General features: G+C 44.5%; 2 long non-coding RNA genes and 1 other non-coding gene across 4 annotated transcripts in view, besides 1 other annotated feature; 2 read left to right on the top strand and 1 right to left on the bottom strand.

Moving 5' to 3' along the window:
- The window catches only part of LOC105373890 (uncharacterized), a 35773-nt gene extending 14958 nt beyond the window's left edge, over positions 1-20815 (bottom strand). The window contains exons 1-3 of one of the 2 annotated variants that reach the window (XR_001739233.2): positions 20709-20815; positions 7871-8052; positions 959-1083 (exon numbers count right to left, since the gene is read on the bottom strand). This is a non-coding gene — a long non-coding RNA (uncharacterized LOC105373890). Of the gene's footprint in view, positions 1-958; positions 1084-7870; positions 8053-20708 lie in introns of those variants that run through there. The other variant, XR_923927.3, reaches the window with a different exon arrangement.
- Positions 17257-19451: an enhancer, noted in NCBI's record as "VISTA enhancer hs1635". NCBI's record gives its function as "enhancer in: limb[5/5] | facial mesenchyme[5/5]" and the evidence as "EXISTENCE:transgenic organism evidence [ECO:0001131][PMID:17130149]".
- MIR4268 (microRNA 4268) lies at positions 19250-19313 on the top strand. The gene has a single exon (NR_036228.1). It is a non-coding gene; the product is annotated as a microRNA 4268 (primary transcript).
- Positions 20816-20925: 110 nt separating the features above from the next.
- LINC01803 (long intergenic non-protein coding RNA 1803) lies at positions 20926-21764 on the top strand. Its single transcript, NR_146975.1, has 3 exons — positions 20926-21300; positions 21436-21570; positions 21662-21764. It is a non-coding gene; the product is annotated as a long intergenic non-protein coding RNA 1803 (long non-coding RNA).
- The last annotated feature ends 2026 nt before the right edge of the window (positions 21765-23790 follow it).

The raw sequence follows: 23790 nt of genomic DNA, 5'->3' as shown, positions 1-23790 counted from the left end.
GTGTCCAACTTTCTTCTTCTTACAAGGATCCCAGTCTATATTGGATTAGGGCCCACACTAAAGACCTAATTTTAATATAATTACCTCTTTAAATACCCTGTCTCCAAATACAGTCACATTTGGGGACTAGGGATTAGAACTTCATATGAAATTGGGGGGTAATATAGTTCAACCCATGACATAATCCTACCATGGGGGTGGGAGACTATGTCAGACAGGACCCTTTCTGTTTAAAAATAAACAAGCAAAGAAAACAAAAGCTGACTCAAACTATGGGTTCAGATGAGGTTCAGCTGTGAATAACAGAAAACAGTGACAGTCACTTAAATGTAATAGACATTTACTTCTCACTTTCAAATGATAAAAAATAGTCCAAAACTGGAATAGCGTTCATGGTGGCAGAAACCTAGGCATCTTCTATGGTTTCCATTCCCAAGGTCACCTCATGGTCCAAGATGGCCGCTGAAACTCCAACCATGAAGCCTATATTCTACTGTGTTGATTCTATTATCAGAAAGGCTCTCCCCTCACAGTTGTAAGATGGTTGCAGCATCCTCAGGCTTTATCTGCCCTAAGTTTCAAATCCAGTAGAAAAGAGCAAGAGCCTCTTTTTTAGAAATATTAGCAAAGTAATACTGTGTTTCATTGATCCTGATTGTGTCCAAGGCCCATTGCTATGGCCAGGGGAATGTGATAAAGTGGTGCCTTGGGCCTGGGCACCTACCCCCATGTTGGCTCAGAGCATGGCTGGGATGGGCCCCAGAGGGAAATTTCCCCTGATGTTGTACTAGAAGGACAAGTAGGCTAGGTGCGGTGGCTCACGCCTATAATCCCAGCACTTTGGGAGACTGAGGCGGGCCAATCATGAGGTCAGGAGTTCGAGACCAGCCTGGCCAGTATGGTGAAACCCCATCTCTACTAAAAATACAAAAAATTAGCCAGGCATGGTGGGGCGCACCTGTAATCTGAGCTTCTTGGGAGGCTGAGGCAGGAGAATTGCTTGAATTCAGGAGACGGAGGCTGCAGTGAGCCAAGATTGCGCCACTTCACTCCAGCCTGGGCTGACAGAGTGAGACACCGTCTCTAAAAAAAAAAAAAAAAAAATAAGGACAAGTAAATACTGCATGGTACAAACCCCAAATGCCCATGGAGTATTACCCACAAAGTATAGACAAACGCAATCAGACTCAGAGAGGCTGTGGCTTGACCAGGTACCCACACAGCTGGTGGAGCTAGGATTCAAACGTTGGCTGTCTGACTATGAAGTCCTTCCTCTTTTTACTCTGCTGCATTAACTGCTTTCAAGTCAGGGGCTATCACTATGGGATGGAGCAAGGTGGGAAGACTTCCTGAAAGAGGTGAATTAATGAAGGACAGGTAAGATTATATACCAACAAAACTGAGGTAAAAGCATCACAGACAAGGAGATTTTCTTTGTAGTGAGCTGGTGCCTAGAGGCAACCTGTGAGGTGGTTATCTTAGCAAAATACCAGGGTACACTGAGCATCAGCCGCTGCTGAGTGAGAGTTTGCAAATGCCTCCGATTGTTAATAAGCTTTCTGGGGTGGAGGGAGAGTGTTTCAGAGCCAAATGGCTTGCAAGAAACCTTTCCACATCCCCTTGGTGAGTCACAGTAAACATCAAAAAATAAAGTCCCTGAGAAGTCCTAGAAAAAGTTATTTCATTTGGCTTAAGTATAATAGTATATCCGAAACAACTTTTGTTTGTTTCCCGAAGATTTGTTTATTGGTTGATTTGTCTTGAACACCTATCAACATCTTTAATATTCTGAAAAATCAGTGTTCTTTTGGCTGCATTTCAGGGCATAAGAATTGCTGATTTAATCCAAAGCTTTATTTCCAGATGTGGAAGTTGAAGTTCAGGGACATTAAGGGATGTAGCCAATATTGTCCAACAGGTGAAGGGCTGCCCAGGGACTAGAACCCAAGCATCTACAGTCCCAACCTGTTGGTGCCTAACCCATTTGTAATAATTTGCATGTGTTGGTACTTTCCAAAATACTTTTATATTAAATTATTTTATTACTGTGAGCATGACTAAACTAAGTCTACCAATGTCCTCATTTGACATTTCAGTTTCTACCAAGTAGTAGCAGAGAGGATCACCTAAGCAGATGATCAGTTCTTGAATTTCCAAGAACTCTGTATGTATGTGTATGTCACTGCCTGTGTACGTGTATTTCCATGAGCTCTTGCACATACCCACACACCAAAGGCAAAGGCACTCAGAGTTAAATTACTTCCCTACCACCATTCAGTTAATATAGGGCTGGGTCTGTTTCTGTGCCCTCCATTTTCTCTATATAGGTTTTGAATAGATACATTAATCAATCAATCAGTGTTTATTGAGTGTTTACTATGCTCTCAGTACTGTTCCAGACCCTGCAGGGCACACAAAACAACTGCAAATCAATCCAATGATCATATATTGAATATTTACTATGTGTCAAGCCCTTATACTAAACATTATGGGAGGTACAAAGTTAAACAAGCTGTGGATCCTTTCCCAAGCAGCTTACTGTCTAATGAACGACATAAGTGCTCAAATAAATACAACGAAAGGCAAAACATGATCTGAGAGAAACATGGTTGTTTGTTTGTTTAACGGGCGTTTGAGCTGGGGTTGAAGCATCCAACCCGATCTCATTGGTTGGGTGGATGGCAGGACTATCCCTTCTGCAGATGAGAAAAGCAAAGTTCTAAAAGCTTCTGGGCTCCTGATTTTGCAGCTGAACACAGGAAAGCCTCTAACAGAGGTTCTTAACCCAGGCTGCAAATTGGAATCACCTGGGGAGACTTTAAAACACAGCTGTCTGTGGTTCCATCCCTGACTCTCTGAATCAAAATCTTGGGGCTTGGTGCTTTAGGACTGCATTATCTTGTTAAAACTTCCCCCAGGTGATTTTGGTGTGGCCAGCGTTGAAAGCTGCTGTCCTCGAGCTATTGCAGCAGGCCAGATGCCCAAGGAAGAAGGCCAAGGCAAGATGGGCTAATAGAAACAGCAAAGAAGCATTGGCGTGAAACATGGTAGAGAAAGACTCAAGGTCCTGATGAGAAACTACATACAGGGTGTAAAGAAGAAAGCATAAAGGTGGCTTCAAGAAACGAGCAATAAAGCCCTCGCACAGCCTTGGAGAATGTGCTGGGCGAAAAGGGCAAGGGTTAAAAAGAAAGGTCAAGAGTCCAGTTCAAGTGAAACTGTGGGCCAGGTCTACCCTAAGTTTTCTTTACCCAAGGTTTGTGAGGGAACATAGCCCAGAGATTTGGGCTTGGTTCCCCAGCTAGTTTTTAAAGCATCTTGAAGGCCACAGTTGCGCAGGGAATCCACAACCACTACTCTGCAAACCCTTTCTTAACACAGCTGAACACACCTGGGGAATCTTGAAATAACAGGTGCAAGAAGAGCTAAGAGCTAGGGTTTGCGATGTACCAGGTCCACACTAAAGCTTTGGCTATATTATCTCATCTAATCCTCACGACAATCCCAGCAAACAAGCCCAGTGGTTATCCTATTACAGAAGAGGAAACCAAAACACAAAGAAGTCAAGGAACTTGCTGAAGTTTCCAGAACTCATGAGCTAAAGGATTGAAATGTGAATTGATCAAATTAGTGCTTTAGTCTGCTTCATTTTCCTTTGTAAAAAAACGTATATTGTGTGTATGGCCTTCATGGCCTGATATTTGTTGGCTGAATTTTTGCTGGATTTCTATTAGTGCCAGAGACTGAGCTAAGTGGGATCCCAGATCCAGTCAGAGGGTATCTGGAAGTTGATGAGAAGGAAACAGGGAGCCCCAGAGGATTTCTGAATGGAAAAATAGGTATCATTTATTCTCACAACAAAGCTATGAGAAAACTGAACTACAGAAAGGTTAAGAATCTTGCCCAAGTACCGCTGGGAAAAGAGGCAAAGGTGGGATTTGAACCTAGGTTCATCTGAGTCTAAAACTGCATCTTTTTACATCATAGTCCTGTACTGCTGCCCAGTGTATCTGGGTCTAATCTAGCACCCTGACCTGTTTGATGGGCAATTGTTGGCAAATAATCCCGTTAATGTGTTTCTCTACCACCATCCCCAGACCCATCTTCCCACTCCGTCCTCTCTCACCTGCTCCACCACACAGAGGCAGAAATCTTGGCTCTGACCCTACCTACAAGACAATCCTCTCCTTAAAAGGCCTTACTGGCTTCAGGTGGCAATTAGGACAAACAGCCAATAGCCTCTAGTGGCCTGTGAAAAATGTGGTTGGAAACAAAAGCCTGAGAGAATTTTTTGGCAGCACTAGCAGCCAGTGGGAGCACAGGAGACATTTCACTTCAGTGAAATGCAGGAGGATTCAAATTCTGCAATCTCCACATGCCAGGTTGCCACTAACTAGTTTTGTTTTCTGGGGCAGAAAGCAGGGAGGTGGGACACCTTCCAGCTGCGTCCAGGCTGAGGCCAGCCAGGAAGGGTTCAGCCTGCCACTAGCTGCTCTGTCAAGCCACCTGGCTGCCAGACGAAGGGTTTGGCCAGAGCTCTCCTGGAAGTGGAAAAATAACCATCTCTTCTCACCAGATGCAAGGTTAGGCTACGAGCTGGGACAAGTGCAGGACCCCTCTGCTGAGGCATGCGGTGGGAGAAGGGTGCCTGGGAAAGTGACTGTTATGGTTACAACAGCATTTGCCAGTTGCTCATCAATTACATGAGCAGAGAGTACCAGCAAGATAATCTGGCCCCTTGCTCCTCCGAGTGCGGTACCCAGTTGTGATGGTTAGTTTTATGAGTCGGCTGGGTTACAGGGTGCCCAAATAGTTGGTCAAACATTATTCTGGATCCTTCTGTGAGTGGTTTTACATGAAGTTAACATTTAAATCAGCGGGCTTTGAGTAAAGCTGTTGCCCACCATATTGGACCTCTTTCAATCAGCTGAGGACCTGAATTGAACAAAAGACTGATCTCTCGCAAGCAAGAGGGAATTCTGCCACAGACAGCCATTGGACTCGAACAGCAGTAAAGGCTCTTTCCTGAGTTTTCAAGCTGATAGTTCACCCAGTATATTTTGGACTTGCCAGCCTCCATTACTGAGTGAGCCAATTCCTTAAATCTCTCTCTGTATATATATATCCTATTGGTTCTGTTTCTCTGGAGCACCTTAATGAATACACCAGCCCAGCAGCATCAGCGTCTTCTGGGAGCTGGTAAAAAATGCAGACTTTCACCCCCAACCCCAGACCTACCAAATCAGAATCTGCATTTTACCAAAATCTCCAGTTGAACATATGGACATTAAAGTCTGACGAGTGTTAATCTAGAGCACCTCTCTTGTTTTACAGATAAAGGAATAGCTCTAAAGAGGTCAAAAGGCTTTCCCCAAGGTACCAGCCCTAGACCTTGGCAGACCTCACACATGTACAGCACTTTTCTATTTAATCATTAAATCCTCACAGCAGCTGCACGAAGTGGGCAGAGCAGAAATATCCCCATGTTACTTATGAGAAAACTAAGAAAAAGAGATATTAAGTAACTTTCCCAAGGACATACAAAAATTAACAGAGCCAGGACTCCAGCCAGGGATGCTACCTCATTTTGTCCAGTGGTCTGGGACAGGGATCTGCAGGATTTTTCTGTTAAGAGCCAGATGGCAAATATTTTAGGCTCTGTGGACCATACAGTCTCTATTGCAACTATCCAGCTCTGCCATTGTCATAGGAAAGCAGCCACAGTCAATACATGAATGGGTATGATTGTGTTCCAATAAAACTTTATTTATAACAACAGAGGGCCAGATTTGGCCCCGAAGCTTTAGTTTGCCAAGCCCTCCATCTATCGCTCTATTCTTGAGAAGGTAATCCTTACACAGCCTTCCTACCCTATTCGAGAGTCATTGAAAGGAGGAAGGGACTGAATGGGGCTTTGTCCTCCCAAGGAAAAGCCTTCCCAAAATCTCATCTCGCACAGGATGTTTGTCCAGCAGACAGGGAGGCTTTTATCCTGGTCCAAAGGGGGTCTGAACAAAACAAGGTAGACATCACCAGGGATGCTGCATATGGTTGTGCAGGACTTTCCCTGAGGGGGCTGCAGTAAGGGCTAAATTCTTCCTACTCTGTGCTCACCACGCTAAGACCCTGGCTCACGATGCGCCAGCTGGAGAGATACATGCCCTTTGCTAATTGTTCTGCCCAAAGGGATTCCCTTCTGCAGGCTCCCTCCCAGAGGGGATGCCTTTTCTACTCTGCAGGAAAGAGCTGCATGCTAACAACAATCCTGGTAAGTCCATGTCCCACTACAGGCTGAGCTGTCCCACCCCAAAGACATCCCTGCAGTGAAGGCCACTGCAGCTGCTTGGTGAGTACGCTTGTGTTGCAGAAAGAGCACAAGGGACAAAAAGAGGAAAGAAATCCTAGTAAGCGATGTCTGACTCAGGAAACAAAGCTGGAGACCATCCTTTAATGTTTGCATTCATTAATGTTCCCGTCAATTTTAAACACGGGTAGAATTTCCAGACTTTGCAGATCATTTAAAAGCTTAAGGGATTATCAAACCAGTCATTTAAAATGACATTTTCACTGTGCAAATATTATTCTATTAAAGAGCATGCATGGCACAGGCCGAGATCAGCTTTGGCAGGGTTACAGGGCCTTCCTCCATTGCAAACCCCACTGTTTCCTCATAAAGCTGTCAAGCCCCCGCTTAATGAAACATATATAAATGCAATGATGTTAGCCATGTCACAGCAAGCTAATTCATTTTGGCTTTTTCCCATTGTGCTACCCTATTAAGGCTTTTATTATTGTATCCTCTTAGGATCACCCCCCCAGCAGGTCTGCCATTGGCCCAAAGAGATGAAATCCAAGAAAGTGTTTAATTTCCAAACAGGCCAAACATCTTAAATAAATAAATAACCAACAAACCTGGTTTGAGTGTTATGGTAACATGCATAAGGCAGACGATTGGGGTTTTATTAGGAAAGAGATACTATAAGATTAATAAACAATCCTGTTCTCTTCCCAAGTTCCTTTGACCTGATATAGCTGCTAACTTCGGTTCTTAGGGGGTAGGTTTCCTTCTTTAATGACTGAAAGAGAATTCACTTGGCATGATCAAGGCTTAGCAAAAACCTTTTTAAGCTCCATTTCCAGATTGTCTTTCAAAAAGTGTATCTTTATGGTTTTTCTGGCTCTGCCATTTCTGGAATGCTCTCCTTTTGCTCGTGAAGTCTGAGAGATATGGGGAGAGTTCTTTTGGTGTGGTTTTTCCCTTGTAGTCCAGCAAATAAAAATGATTTAGATGGAAGATGTGGAAGCCTTCACAGACCCAGAAACATCGAGTTCAAACCCTTTTAGGGAACAAGAAGGAAGGCTGCCAAAATGATGGACCTCATGAGGATTCATGAAGCTAGGGGTGATTATTCACTAACTGTATTCGAGGTTCCTGGACTACAGCCATCTGAAAGTTCCTGTCTTCTTTTTAAGGGAAATAGGGGGCAGGTCTTCTCAGGAAAACAACTGTTTCCATGACTTTCTTCTTGGCATAAAATTACCTCCCCAAGCTCACATCCCTGAGGAAAATTCACAAATTGGCCCAAATGACTGGATGTCACTATTTTCAGCTGCAGAAATCTGCTCACGTCAATGACAAGCTATACATACTGAGCCACTTGGGAATGACTTTTACAACAATTCCACCTATGACTAGGCTTTGACAATTGGGCCCAGGAAGGAAGATTCTTGGAGGAATCCACAAGTTTGGGTGTTCCTAAGAGGAGGGAGCAAGTTCTCATCTCTTCTTCCAACTTCCTCTTTTGTCCTCATTCCAACAACCAGCCCAAACACATAACACACACACACACACACACACACACACACACACCTGTGTAGTGTGCTGCCGGGTGCTGCATTTGAACCTGACTCCAGCCGCAGCTCCAGGACAGCCCAGCATCTTAGCAGACAATGCTATGGACCACAGGACTCTAGGGAAATGCTTGTTCAACCTCCATCTCAACGGGGGCCACTCCTGCAGTTTTAAAGAGAACAGTATTTCCCAGGATGCATCTGTGAAAAAAAAAGCCAGATAATTTGGGATTTGGAGCAAACTTTTTTTTTATTTTGGGGAGTCAAAGTACCACTTAGTAGGTGATTCAAAACTAATTTGCACATTGAAGGCTCTGGAAAGTCCTGCAGTAAACATACCTGTTAAAATTTGTGGGATCTAGCATTTGGCAATCTTATCTGACTACAGAAAATTGTATTCAAGTGACATCCATTACCAAGGAACAGTGTCTTGGAAAGTCTAGTAGAACATTGATTAAACACAAACTACCCCCGAAGAAAGAAGCTCTAAGGGCATTAAGTCTGTAATTCGAAAACAGTATATTTTCAAGCCAGCATGGGAGCTTCTAGGAAAGGGAGAAAGATGCCTGTATATAATAATTCTGATTCTTTCAAAAGCCAACAACCTACTCTCCCTCCACTGTACTGTTAACTAAAGCAAATACCACATGGTGTGTGCAGCTGTATACAACTGACACAAAGGCATTTGTGTACAGACCTTCCAAGCCATCAAGGGAAGAGAAAAATTTGTTGCTGGGAAAAAACCTAACTGTGCACTGCCAACACCAATAGTCTTCCTCCACAACAGACTTGGTGCCCGTGCCAAAAATCACTCTCGGTTCCCTTTTTAATTCTGCCCTCCTTTATCCACTAAGACTTGGAGAAGATTATTTTGATTGGAATTAGACAGCCACCTGCAGCTAGATCTTTAGCTGTTATTAGTGTTCTGTTTAAGCCCTTTCACAACAAGCTCATTGAAAAAGACAGTGGACTTTTGAAGTTGCCCAATACTATCTCTGGTGATTTTCTCAAGTTAACAACCTCCATACCAGCCAATTGTGCTAGCTGGGGGAGGTGATAATCTCCTCCCTGGGGTGGTGGTCAGGAATTAAAGGGTCTGGGATAAATTACAGCAGCAACCTCTGCCAAGAACTCTCTTCTCCTTGATCTCGCCCCATACTCATTTAATGTATTTTTGTTTTAACACAATGTTCAGGTGCTTTTCCACCATCCCTTTCCTAAATTCCTCCAGTAATTCAGGCCTTTTTGTCCTTTCCATGCATCACCCCCACTCAGAGTGAGCCTTGTAGGTGCCCAATTTCTAATTTGCCTCTAAACATTGCTTACTTAAAATGATTTCTATTCAGTTACCTACTATTTCTTTCCAATGGAGAACACAAACTGTTCCCCTTCCTTTTCAAAACCCAACACTCCAACCTTCAATACCCACTACACTTGTAACAATATGTCTTTGTATTTGCTTATCCATTTAGAGCTTACAAAGAGGCTTCAAATACAAATTCCCCGTTGTCATTCACACGGCACTGTCGCCATGGTTCGGGGACAAGCCCTGTGGGTGCTTATTATGCGACTCATTGAACAGGGAGCCAACTTGGGTTCCATTTTTCTGGATCAGTACCTAAAGGAATTCAACCAAGTCTGAGCTGGCCTCCATGATGAATGACGAAAAGAAAGACCAGTAACTTATCTCTAGTGGCTCAAGGCAGAGATGACAGAACCAAAGTTCCAAGACTCAGAAGAGCCACTTAATTCCTTGTAATGCTTAAGATGAAACTCATTGGGTGGCCACAGTGTCTTTGATCCCTCAAACTTTGTTCTCCCTTCTCTTGCCACAGCTGAGACCCATTCTACCAATATCCACATTGGGCTGCTTTTCTGAGAATACATAGCGGGATGGTGGGTTTCTGCTTCTTTCTTTTAAGAATTTTTTCTAACCAGTGAGTCCTCATCTTCTCCACTGTTAACACTTTTCTTTCCACAGGTAAAAGTAGAAATTAATATTAAAAGAGTTTTTTAAAAAATGGAAGAACTCAAAGAAAAATCTCCTAAAGCAAGAAGTAAATTCACCACGATTTAAGCCGTGGCTTTACCACTTACAGGCAGCGTTGCCTTGGACAAATTACTTAACTTCTTTGAGCTCTAATTTCCATGTCTGAAAAATGGAGATAATAATCATACCTCCCTCATAGGGTCATTGTGAGGACCAAAGGCATGAATAGACAGTTTCTAGCACCAGATAAGCACTAAATGGCATTTAATTAGTATTTCTTCTGTCTGAATTACTACAAAAATAATAATAAAAATCAATAAGTAATCTATTTTTAGTACAGTGAGCACCCACCCAAACCTGAGGGCTGTTGACAGCTATGCCATAGCCCTCCTCTGTCACAAAAGGTCCCTTCCTTCTCTTACAGAAGCTCCAGTTATTTCCAAACTTGTGCAAGATTAAATAGCCTATAAGTGACACAGGAGGGGTTTGAACCTAAATCCCACTGACTCCAAAAATCTATCCCCTTCCACTGGACCACCATCAAATGTATCAGAAAGAGGAAACTCACCAAAGAACATTATTGTACTTTGATCGATTGCTGAGAGAAAGCAAATGTCAGGTGACCCCAGAGACAGAGCTTTTAGTAGTACTTTTATGCAAAGTCACTAATCCCCAGACCCCTCCCCACTTCACCCCCAAAATCATTAAGCTAGAATCAGGACAGCTAACATGAAAAAGGGAGGAGGGAAATCAAGCTCACATAGAAGCATTCTGTAAGGCAAATTACACAAGCGAGAAAGATAGACTGTCTCTGCTAAACCTGCACCCTACAATGTTTCAGAAACTTCTAGAATACTGAAAGATCCATGCTGGCTCTCATAAGCCAGGACAGTGGTAGTAATGAAGCCCAGAGCTGAGCAACAGCCAGCATGGGGCCTGGGTTTGTTTTTTATTTTGTGGGGTTTTTTTTGTTGTTAACCCTGCAAATGACAGGCAAATAAATCTGCTTGCTATGCCTAAGAAAATGCTGAAAATATCTTCCCTTCAACAATCTGCAGATGCCCAAGAGCACATCATCATGGAATAGTGCAGTCCTAACTGAGGCTCCTCAAAGGCCAGGACAGGGCCTTGAAACTGGGACACTGAGAAGGGAGCCATAAGATCTGTCTGTCTGTCCTCGCTGGTGCTGGCTTCTGTCGTGCCCCACACCAGCTACTCATACGAGAGCTGAAATGAAGACAGCCTGGACAAGCCAGCAGGTGGGTGGCTCTGTAGACGGTTTCAGGGGTGTCAGCTGTCAGCCCCACTCTGCGCTTCCACAAAGAGCTGCACACTCAGCACCTTGAAGTTCAGGGCAGTGAGGAGGGCTCAGCCCTCAGAACCAGGCAGATATGGCATTGGATCTTGGCTTGGCCAAGCTGCATAGGGTATAAGCTAGTACTTGATTTTGACGGATAAGGCCACTGAGTCAAGCTCAGTCAGAGAGTGAGTTTGTCAAGGCTAGTACTGCAACCCGGGTCTCATGGCTGCACCACACAATAATGCCTCCCCAGGCAATGGTGCCCCGAGGCAGGAAGGTAACCCACAGTGGGCAAAGGTAGGGCTGGCAGCCACGTAAAGACACAAATTGAGACATACAGCCAGCCACTGCAGACGCACTCTCAGAGAAGGAGCCATAAAGCGGCTCTGCTTCCTGCATCCCACTTTCCCACAGCGCATCCTCCCTGGGAACAATGTAAGCCCAGCCAGAGGGCATAACGTGGAGAAAGGATGCCCTCCTCTTCCTGCCTCAGACCATTCTTCAGTTCCTGGGCCTCTCAGCCTTGAGAATCCAGAGTCATTAACAAAAGGGCCAGAATCATCAACTGCGGGGCAGAGTGGAGGCCGGTGCAGGACTGTGGTGGTGTGGGCTTCATTCTCCTGCCTGGGTCTGCTTAAAGTCAGGGATGGGCAGGAAACTTCTAGGGGACCCTCAAGGAATGGGCAGTCTCACTGGAGAAAAATAAAATGCACAGACAATAGCTGAAGAAAGTTACATGCCAAAATGAAGTACCGTGCCAAACTCGAGCTTGTCAAAGGTTCTGAAATGAGATGAAGCCCTACCGTGATCACTGGGGAGGGTGTTGTGACCATTCTGATGATTGGGCTGCACTCAGAAGTTCATGATGCAGCACAGAATTTTAAACAGAGCCGCCTCTGAACCCCTTTAATATGGTTCGGCTGTGTCCCCACCCAAATCTCATCTTGAATTGTAGCTCCCATAATTCCCACGTGGAAGGGACCCAGTGGGAGATCATTGAATCATGGGGGCAGTTCCCCCATACTGTTCTCATGGTAGTGAATAAGTCTCATGAGATCTGGCGATTTTATAAGGGAACAACTCTTTTGCCTGGCTCTCATTCTCTCTTTGCTGCCACCACGTAAGGCGTGCCTTTCACATTCCACCATGAATGTGAGGCCTCCCCAGCCACTTGGAACTGTGAGTCCATTAAACCTCTTTTTCTTTATAAATTACCCAGACTCAGGTATGTCTTTATTAGCAGCATGAAAACGGACTAATACACCCTTCAACACCACACCTCATCTTAGGACGAGGCTACTGTCCTCTCTACAAATCTCTCTGCAATGTCTCCCTTCTGAATCTCCTGTCCCAGATAACGTGTCACACACTGTGTGGTTGGAGAACAAGGCATGCTGGTCCCATGCAGCCAGATAACTCCCAGCATTGCCCTGGTTCCCCCAACCCTGGGAGCCAGCCTCAGGTCTAAGCCCTGGTGCGGATTTATAGACCAGGTGCCCGGTGTGATCAGACAGACAGGGCCTTGCCACACAAGGGCCTGGCACTGTTTTACTCCTGTTTCAAATTAACATAAGCATTTCTCAAGGCACACCTTGTATTAAATTGGAAAATAAAATCAAAAGGAATCTACCTTCTAGCCAATAAAATGTGAGGCACCTTCATCCAAAGTCAGCCTCTTTCTGCACCCAGTTTTATTTTGTAAAGTTTCTTCGGGGGCAGACAAAAAAGATGCTATGTCCTCCCTATGAAGTGCTGTGAGTAATAAGTGCGAGAGGAAAAGCACATAATTGTTTCTCCCTTGCAAACACAGTGACCTCATTTAGAGCATTGCTCTTCTCTGGCGGCTGGAATGTGAGCTTGATTTCTGGCTGGGAAAACGGAGCCCAACTTCTAACAACAACCCAGGCCTCGGCAACTCCTTTCCCTTTGTTCACCTGGCAAGGATACTGGACACAGAGCCCTTGGGTCTTGCTGCAAGTCTCATCTACTGCAGTTTGCAGGATGAACATAAAGTGAGAGCTGCCCCAAAGGGCTGAATGTCACGGTACAGGAGACGAGATTTATAGAGTGTTTTCCAACAGCTCCATCAGCTCCAGTGCAGGAAAAAATACATGTGTCCCAGTGGCAAATTCTAGTTGTTTTTCCCTTCTGAAGAGATGTATGAGATGGCGAGCAAACACTGAACACAGAGCCAGCACTGGTAAGAGTGAATAATTCCTGCTTCTATTGCTTACAAGTTCTTAGACTTTAACTGTTCATCGCCCTAAGTCGTATTTTTATGCCTGAGACACTCCGCCCCTAGCAAGGCGATTGGGTGGAGAATCATATTTTAAGGAATCTATCTAAATGCTCCCAGGGCTTCCAGATATTTCTGGGTCACTTTTATCCCTGGTAGATGGGACCAGCGTGTGAGCCATCATCCTGATTTATCCGCAACCTGGAATTTGGACAAGCTGAACAGAACAAATTAAGTTAAAATATTAGCTGTAAAACAAAGCCGTGGTTTCATTCCATGTCTCCCGGCTGAACTTTGAGAAGGGTAGCCTCTGAATCCAGCATCTCTAAAGATATCCTTTCTCATACACATTGAGGATATCACCACTTCTGAGGGATGTATCTTGGACAAGTGGCTTAATGGAAAGAGCTCTGGATTTGAAGGCATGGGCTGGTGACCACGACCTTGGGCATACCACTTTAAGCATTTGGGCACTAATTTAATCAAATTGAAAGCAACTAAAAATGGTAGACTCAGTCAGAGGTTTCCCAAATTATACCTCACTGATTTGTCTACCTCACTGGTTTCTATTAGCTTGGTGCAAAAGTGATTGCACCATTGAAAATAATGGCAAAAACCGCAATCACTTTTGCACCAAGCTTATCTATGGGAGACTATGCAAAAATCTTAGTAGAGACAGGAGTCAGGAGAACCACATCCTTTTCCCTCAAAGGCCAGCATAGTCTAAAACACGTGTGGAGAACAGCCTGCCAGCTGAGCGTGCTGGGCTGCTTCCCTCACTCAAGAGAGCTATTCATTGCTCTGTTGAAGAAGGAACTCACATTTCTCGAAGGTCAACCAGGCACCTCACACACATCCTCCTACACAGAAATCCTATGAGACTGGCACCATTATCATCCATCTTTATTTTGCAAATGAGGAGCTAGAGGTTTCACTGTGCTAAGCAATTGTGAAGGTCACTCACCTAGAGGTCGTAGGGTCTGAGGTCTGCTTGTTCCTAAAGGAGATGCCGTCTCAGATTGTAACACTATCAAGTGCTATTACATTTATTAAAGGACTTTGTAAACTGAGAGATGCAATGCAAATCTAAGAGACTGTGACCTGAGAGTTATTTCACAACAGCTACAAATTCAGTAAGAGTAGTTCACTCAATTTCAGAAGTTCCCTTTTGACAGTCCTCTCTCTAGTTGATGTTAAGTGTTGCTAATATAGTAGATACTGACTAAACTATACAAGAAGTCAGATGTGCCTTCAGTAGCAGCTCCATGTTTATGAACTGAAATTTTAAAAAACTGGCCCAAGAGCATTGCCCGGTAGACCCTTGATCTTATGGCGGGCCTGGCTTGGTGGGATGAGGACACCCGACCTGAAGTGTAGTCTCTGCCCGACCATTATGTACAAGATTTTGCACTGGACCAGCACTCTGGGACCTTCTTGGGATAGGGACCCTGCTTTAATTATTCATGTATCTCTAGGGCCTATCAGAGTACCTGTCACATAGCGGACCCTTAATACATGTTTGCTTGTTGAATGAATGAGCACATGGAGAAATTCTGATTATAAAGGAGGCATTGTGTGGAATGGAAAACACTGGACTAGCATTCTGAAGACCTGTGTTCAAGTTCTGGCTCCGCTAATTAACCAGCTCAGTGCCTCTGCAAGTCAGTGAACTTCCTCTGAGTCTATGTCCTCATCTATCAAAATGGGGTAAAAATTTTTCTCTATCCATCTCATAGAGATGCTGTATCAAATGAAGGAATATTTGCAGATGAACTTAGTTTAAGTCTATTCAAACATAAGTTACACCATTTTATTATATAGAGTCAAGAAACTGCAGCATGTCACAACCAAAGCCATTGCTTTTTGCAAATGGGAAATCTGATGCCCAAAGAGAAGAAGAGCAGATCCCAGGCCTTTTGCTCACTGCTCTGCCTTACTAATGCCATATTGGCTAACCTCATGAGTGCCCTTGCCAGAGCTGGTAGGTCTTCTTCAGGCTAAACCCAAGGCACCCACTTCACTGGGTGGCCCATAAGCTTTTACAAGATATCTGGGGATACACTTCAGAAGCAGATTGGGCATAAGGCTCTTCATGTGTGACTGCCTCTGTCTTCTGAAGGTTTTTGGGGATGTTGAATGGAGTTTTTTCCAGAATATGGGAAATACGGTTGAAGCCCAGCCATTCAGTTTTCCAGTATGCTTGGGTAGCTCCACAATCTGGCCCCAGTTTCTTTCCAAAGTGTCAGTCTTCATCACTCCCCAGTTCATTCCTCTGTCCCTACCAGGCTGGCTCCTCACCAGTCTCTAATCTGCTTCAGTCAGTCTCTGTGACCCCAGCCATATAATTCTTCCCTTTTTCCCCTTCCACCCTCCTTGGAGTCCAGCCCACCCCTTCTCCATCCAAATACCACATATTCTTGATAAAGAGCTCAAGTCCCATCATGCCAAGATGTCATCCATGACTATCCCAGTTCATAGGGTCCTTCTATCCAGCCAGCCTGCACATTAACATCTGCTGTGGCATGAGTTGTGTCTCCCAAGAAGATATGCTGAAGTCCTAAACCCCGTACCTATGAATGTGATCTTAGTTGGAAATAGGGTCTCTGCAGATATAATTAAGATGAAGTCATACTGGATCAGAGTGGGCCCTAAATCCAAAAACGTGTGTCCCTCTATGGAGAGAGATTTGAAGACACAGAGAAAATTGGAGTTATGCTGGCATAAGCCAAGGAACACCGAGGATTGCTGGAAACTACCAGAAGCCAGAAAAGGCAAGGAAAGATTCTTCCCTAGAGCCTTTAGAGAGAATCTGGCCCTGCTGACACTTTGAATTGGGACTTCCAACCTCCAAAACTATGAGAGAATAAATTTCCATTGTTTAAGCACCCAGTTTGGGGTACTTTGTTATACCAGCCCTAGGAGACCAGTACAACATTTTGGGTCACTGGTTGGGCTTATAGGCACCTGACTCACCATATACTACTGGTCACCTTCTCATGAGAATATTATAGGTCAATGAACTGCCTGAGGATAGAAACTGTCCGCCAAACTTCCTTGCAGCCTCCCTAGAGCCTGGTGCCTAGTGACTTGATTGATTTAACCTCAAGCATGAGGATTCAGCTTCAACATTCCATCAGGAATGGGGCTGCTTTAGAAAAGGCACTTACTTTCTTCTCAGACTCAACAAGTAATGCCAAATTAAAAGTAATGGCAAAAGTCACAATTACTTTTGTGCCAACCTAAAAGCAACATGATGAAGTAGAATGTGGGTGACTAATTCTCAGAGAACACATCTCCACTTCTTAGCTGCAATCCAGTAGCCCCAATGCATTGAAACAAGCTTACCCGAAACTTTTCCTTATACCCTACTGCCACCAAACCCTACACCAAATGCAGTCCAAACACCAATCCTTCACTCTCTGTCCCCAGCAGGGCTGGCCTGTCCAACATCCTGACCTTCCAACACTGCCCCCACCTCCACAGACATATTCTCACCCACAGTGACTTGACTCTGTATTTTGGTCCCTATCTCAGTCTTCATAATCAAATTCTATGTGAAGTTAACCTTTGAAGTTCACAGCCCCATCATAACTAGACAGAGAGATGAGCCCACATGAAACAGTGCTGGCCACTGGGCCAGTCATCCCACTCCACGCACTTGGGCCCCAGAGTGAGCATGAGATTGGAAAGGAGAGCCTGCACTGCCCTCACCAGGCCTTAATTTGATCAGGCCTCTGATGGTGTCAGCATCTCACCGCACTGAATGTGCATCTAGTGTTTAAAGACCTGCATTTTTCATACAGTGTGGCCTTAAAGTCAAGGTATGGACTTCACCTGGTACAAGAGCCATGAAGTGGTAATAAGGGAAACTTCTATAAGTGATCTTCCCTTGACCTCTGAGTAGCATGAGACTTATAGGGATTGCTTCTTCCTTTTGCTTCCCCTGCCCTCATCTTCTCCTTCACCTGGGTCATGCCTTGTCCTCCCTCTCTGTGAATCTAAATCCTACCCAAACTTCAGTGTCCAACTCAAATATGGTCTTCTCCAATAAACTTTCTTTCATTCCCCAAGTAATGACTCCAGACTCTTAACTCCCATTAAAACCTCTCCTTTGGCATATAGTTAGAATATCTTATTTCATGGATATTTGAATATGTCTTTTATCTACTATTTAATCACAGACTGGAAGGCTTTTGAGAGCAAAGATCTTATCTTATAATCTTTCCCCTTCAAGGTTTCGGGAATTAAATGAGAAAATGTAATCCAATGGCCTCTGTGATGTCTGGCATATAGTATATTCTCAATAAATGTCAATTCCTTTCCCTTTTACACATCTTTGCATCCCCAAGAGCATTTTGCAAAGTCTTTTGAATCATCTAGCTGCCTAATAAATGTTAAATATATGAATCAATGCACAGAAATGGTAATATTTCAACTGTTTTCCTAAGGTCAATGAGTACAGTTCAGACATTTCCACTTTTCTCCCACAACTCCTGAATTTGTGGGCTCATAAAGATTATTTCTGTTCCACACCTCTGAAGCTGAAAGCAATATTATGAGGCAGGAGGTAAGCAGTGGAAGGCTGACAGCGTCACCCAGCAGTGAGTCCAGAAGCAATCATCTAGGGCCTCCAGAACTGGCTGGACAAAATCAGGCAGCAGCCCAACCAACCTTTAAGCTATTTAACTAATTTAGTCTTTGTAAAGAAATAGTGTGCAATTAATCCTTATTTTGCACTCATCTCATACTTTTTCATTAATTTCTAATATTTTCATGTTCTTAGGTAGGTGAGGCATCGTATATAGCACCACTTTTCTTAAGCAAATTTAAATCCTCAGAGGTGAAACCCAACCAGCATGCCAGTAAGTTCGAATAGAGTTGGCACCATTTGATGCTGTCAGTTATTAGGAGCTGAACAAATTCTAGATGTTCCTGAGATGAAGTGGCAGGGAACAGATACAAGAAGACTCCTCCTTCATCCCTACTCTTAACACCATGGGACCTATTTATGCATTCCTCTTGAAAGGGAGAATGAAGAGTCCAGAAACTCCACAGGCTGGCTGGTCACTCCAGAGTCTCTCAGCTAAACCTTTGGATGGAGCAGGCCTTGCCCTCAGCATTGGGTTACCTTTGTTTATGTTCACAGAAAGAAAAGCCAGCCCAGAGCCCGAGACCCCCCAGCAGAGGCCTGATTTCACACACATTTTCCCCAGATTCCTATTGGCTTGGCTGGAAACCACATATTAAAACCCACCAATCTTTCCACTTGAGCCTGATGAAAGCTTCACCAGAAACAGCTGCACTTCACATGTGGTTTAAGTTAATATCTTATCCCGACGGTTTAACTCTAACTGGCTGGGCTGCTTTTTAATATTCACAATCCTCTTTTGTTTCACATTAAGAATATGTCTTTCATTACTCGCCAGAGCTGGGGGACACAATGAAGCTGGTAGCACTTCATTTTTGAAATGTCTGGAATAATTGTTTGTATTGTGTGTTACTCAAGGACCACTCCAGGTTGGCTATCTGAGATGCATATGAAAGTGTTAAAAACCCTAACGTGAACGTTGCTAGACCTATGTGGAATGTTTTCCTATTAAAAAAGTAAAGCCACATACTAATGGCTCAGATTTAGTTTCTAAATCCCAGAGCTCGTTGAGTCAAGCAACATGATAAGTTCATTGCTTTGTTTCTTCCAACGGCTCTCTAAACCACCCCATCCCTTCAGCATATAGGAAAGTTTAATCAATATGTGGCTAATTTCACACACAGGCATGCCATACACATATGCACACTCTTGCTTTGTATCTGTACTGGACATGATTAACTTTCAAGTTCATAGAAATCGTGCAACTCTGGTTTCCCTGGCAAAATGCACATCAGGTTCTAGAGGTTTTGCCCTAGCGGCTCCTCCTCTCAGGATGTGATGTCACCTGGGGGCATCTTCACTGTGTGACATCATTTGTTATGCAATGGTGAGTTTGAGGTGCTGGGAATATTCTGCAGATTTCCACTTGTCTAGCACTTGTATAAAAAAGGTCAAGATTGGGAAGATTTCAACAAGCCCCTTTTGTACTCATTAGTCATTAAGATATGGCTAGACTTTTTGATGACTCTTGAATTTTTTTCCCTTATTTTATTTCTGTGTTTGTATGAAGTATTGTCATCATCCCTGTTTTATAGGAGAAGCTGAAGCACAGAAAAATTAAATAACAAGATAACATGGATAATAAGTTATTATAGCAGAGACTAGTTATCCCCAATATCGTTTTCCCATTCTTCTCCAGTCATAGAACTACAGAAATCAGAATTGTATTGATTACTATTGGCTGGGCATATAGCCACCCAAATAAAGATTATGAAGTAGGAAGAATTCTAAATGGTCCCCAAGATTCCTACCCCCTGGTGTATATAGCCTTTAAACCCCCTTTTCTTGAGTACAAGTAGGACTGGTAATAGGATGAAATGATTGCTCCTTTAGATTAGGCTGTATTATATGATAGCAGTAAAGGGATTTTACAGATGGAGCTAAGGTCCCACATCAGTTGTCTCTGAGTCAGTCAAAAGGGAGATGACTCTGGGTGGGCCTGGCCTAATCAGGTGAGCCCTTAAAAGAAACTGGGCCTTTGCTAAAGAGAAAGAGTCAGAGGAATGCTCTTGCTGGCCTTGAAGGTGCAATGCCTTATTGTGGAAAGGGCCACATGGCAGAGACTAGCAGCCAGCCTCTAGGAGCTGGGAACGGACTCACTGACAGCCAGCAAGGAAGTGGGACCTCAGTCCTGCGATTGCAAGGAACTAAATCCTGCCCATAACCAGTAACTTTGGACAAGCATCCTGAGTCTCAGATGGGATCACAGTCTTGGATGACACTTTGATTGCAGCCTGATGAGACCCTGAGCAAAGGACGAGCACTCCTGATCCCCAGAAACTGAGAGATAATAAAGTTGTGTCGTTTAAGCCACTGAGTCTGTGCTCATTTGTCATACAGCAATACAAAACTAATGCAGGTTACACTTCCCAAATGCCTTTGCAGTTGGTGTTGCCATGTGACTAAGTTCTGGCCAATAGGTTTTAGCTGCAGTGATGTGAGTAGCTTCCCTCTGTACCTTCCCTTCATCTCTCCCCTCTTCTTCTGGCAGGATTATGGATGTTGTGGAAAGCCACCTAAAGCACAGGGGTGAGAGAAACACCCTGAAGATGGTGAAGCAACAAGATAAGAGCCTGCATCCCTCAAATTTTAGGATTGCCATATCAGTCCTGAACTGCTTACACCCACACTGTTAAGTGATCATGAAATAAACACCCATCTTGCTTGGTGAAGGCATTCTTACCTGGTGTTTGTGCTACAGGGGTTGAACCTACCCCGACCTAACAGGCAGAGCTCAAAATGGACCCAGGTGGTGTGATCCCAGAGCCCATTTACTTAGCTCCTTCACCACCCTGCCTCCCAGGCACCATATTACATCACAGTAGAATTGGAATCTCACACTGTTAGAGCTTGATGAAATTGTACTGGTCAAGTCAGTCAAACCAGTCAAGCGGACAAGAAAGAGGGACTCAGATCACCTGGAATTATGGCAATGTCTTGCAAGGATACTTCTGAAAATCGGGTGTCACGGGAAGCTGAACTTTGCATCCCAGTTCTGAAACATACAGCAACCTCATGGAGACAGATGCATCACTCGGCATTTTGGGGCGGTAGCGAGTTCAGTGACCTGCCAGATTTCTTAGCATTAACTTGAAAGAGAAGACACTTATTTGATTTGATTTGATTTCTACTAGTCAAGTGGGCACCTGGATTAAGCAGACTCTCCCCCAGGCACCCCGGAGGCCTCTGACATCCCTTATGTCCAGCCCAGACATGGCCTTTCTGTGGCCTCAGCGTATCTGCCCAGTCCAATCGGCTATAGCCAGAATAAAAAGGTTGGTTTCCCTCCACCCATGAGCCATGCCATACATGACATGCATGTGAATAATGATCTGAGCTGTGTTATCTGGCAGAGGTGATGCTCACGGCTCTGCTCCATGTTCTGGGACATGACTGGACTCTCATTTTAGGGAGGAAGATCCAAGAGAGGGAAGGAGGCTTTCCCAGCTACTTTCCTGCTAACCAGGGCAGAGGCTGGTCTACATCCCCCTATCCAGGTGGCCCCTGCAGTCATGGCTTTTCTGCTTCTAGAAGCCATCCCTGAGGTCAGCTGAATTTAGACCTATGGTATCTCCAGTACAGCACTTTGTCATCTGTTTGTGATAATAGTTTTCCAATTCTTGTCACTTCCGCCAGAACATCATTGCAGAACTCAAAATACATTGCATCATACAAAATGAAGTGGAGAATTAAGGTAATTATCCAATTATTAAAAACCATTTCTTATTCGTTAGCTAAATAACTCTTCAAGTCTCCATTTTACATGTGTTCCTCTGATGTGAATTTGACCCTGGCCTATTTGTTTTTCAGTAAAGTCCAAAATCCAAAATAGCCCAACAGAAAGACCCCCTCCCAGTATTCCACAGCATCAGTAATAAAGCTCCTTATCAGATCTAATTTAAATCTTTCTTGAAACAACTTAAGTCCTTCTGCACCATCCTCTGCAAGTGCAGAACAGCCAGAGTGCAGGTTGCAGGATGTGGGGGGATTATTACAGTGAAATCGGCACACGGATCTCAAGATGAAAGTTTGCTGTTTCTCCAGACCGTCTAGGTGACTGCCTTTTGAAATTGCACACGGCTTATACTGCCATTCGTGTAGTTTAAGAAAAAAATTAAAGTATAAAAGGAAACCAGCAGTGTTTTAAGAGATTTCATTTCTGCTTGATGCTTGTACTCATTTGCAGGGAGGCAGGAGGAGCGCTTGTACTATATAGGGTCTCTGGAAACACTTAAAGTTCAGAAAGACCCACGACCCCAATCCAAGCTTCTAGACAGAAGAGAGAGGGTGCAAAGGTAAAACCCTCCCCTTACTTTATTCCACATCACATTGGGGTAAGTGGTTTGCCCCTCGATGTCCACCCTTTACCATTCTGTGCCTCAGAGGCTGACACACCCCCACAGCATCCAGATTCCCCTGCCCTCTGGCTTCTGACTGAGATCGACCGAGAGGCAGTGTGATCATTAATTTTAACGTGTCAGCTTGGTTGGACATGGTACACAAATACACGGTCGAACATTATTCTAGATGTTTCTATGAAGGTGTTTTGTGGATGAGAATAACATTTAAATCAGTGGACTTGAAGCAGAATACCCTACATAAGGTGGGTGGGCTTTATCCAATGAAGGTGGAAGGCCTTCATAGAACAAAGACTGACCTCCCCCTGAGTGAGAAGGAATTCTGCCAGCAGACAGCCTTTGAACTCCCTGAGTCTCCAGCCTCACAGCCTACCCCATCAGTCTTCGGACTCACCACGCCTCCACAATCACATGAGACAGCTCCTTAAATAAACGAATGAATCTCTCTCTTTTTCTCTCTCTGTCTCTCTCTCTCTGTCCCTCTGTCTGTCACACACACACACACACACACACACACACCAGTGGTTCTGCTTCTCTGGAGAACCCTGACTAGTACAGGCAGCAACGCTAGGAAATCAGACCAGATGGAGGAAGGGAAGCAAGTATTTATCCCCTAGCTCCTCCCCTGTGGGGTCTGCACACAGCCCCAGCCATCTCAGGGTAGGGGAGCCATGCCCCCCCCTCACACCCTCAGGCCTGCAGGTGATACCTGCACTCTCTTTTCTTAAATCCAAGGACTGCACTAACCTTGAACAATTTCCCCACACCATGCTCACTCCTTTACAAATGATCCTCTAATTAACTGCTCAATTTATCCTACTATGAGCCTGCTGAAACCTTGACTAACACCAGTGTCACCAGAATGTGGGGGCCATGGCAAACTTGATGTGGCATTCAGGGCCTTCCTTGTCTGACCTCAACCTCCCCTTCGAGGGTCTTTTTCTGCCATGTTCATTCACTCCAAAGACACACAAAAACACACAGTAACATACTCAGTATTGTCACCAGACTGCGGCTCTCCCCCACATAGCAGCCCCACTCCAACACCTCTGTCACTCTCTCTGGATGTCAGCACCCCACAGTGTCCTATGCGCATTACCAAACAACCACACACTAGTAACTTATAAATGAATAAGAGGGCGGGGGGGGTGGCTCACACCTGTAATCCCAGCACTTTGGGAAGCCAAGGCGGGTGGATCACCTGAGGTCAGAAGTTCGAGACCAGCCTGACCAACATGGTGAAACCCTGTCTCTACTAAAAATACAAAAATTAGCCAGGCATGGTGGTGGGCACCTGTAATCCCAGCTACTTGGGAGGCTGAGGCAGGATAATTCCTTTAACCCAGGAGGCAGGGGTTGCAGTAAGCTGAGATTGCACCACTGCGCTCCAGCCTGGGCAACAGAGCG

Source organism: Homo sapiens, chromosome 2 (genome assembly GCF_000001405.40).
Source record: "Homo sapiens chromosome 2, GRCh38.p14 Primary Assembly".
Lineage (NCBI taxonomy): Eukaryota > Metazoa > Chordata > Mammalia > Primates > Hominidae > Homo > Homo sapiens.
Note: the sequence above shows the minus strand (reverse complement) of the source record. Positions and strands in the feature narration are given on the sequence as shown.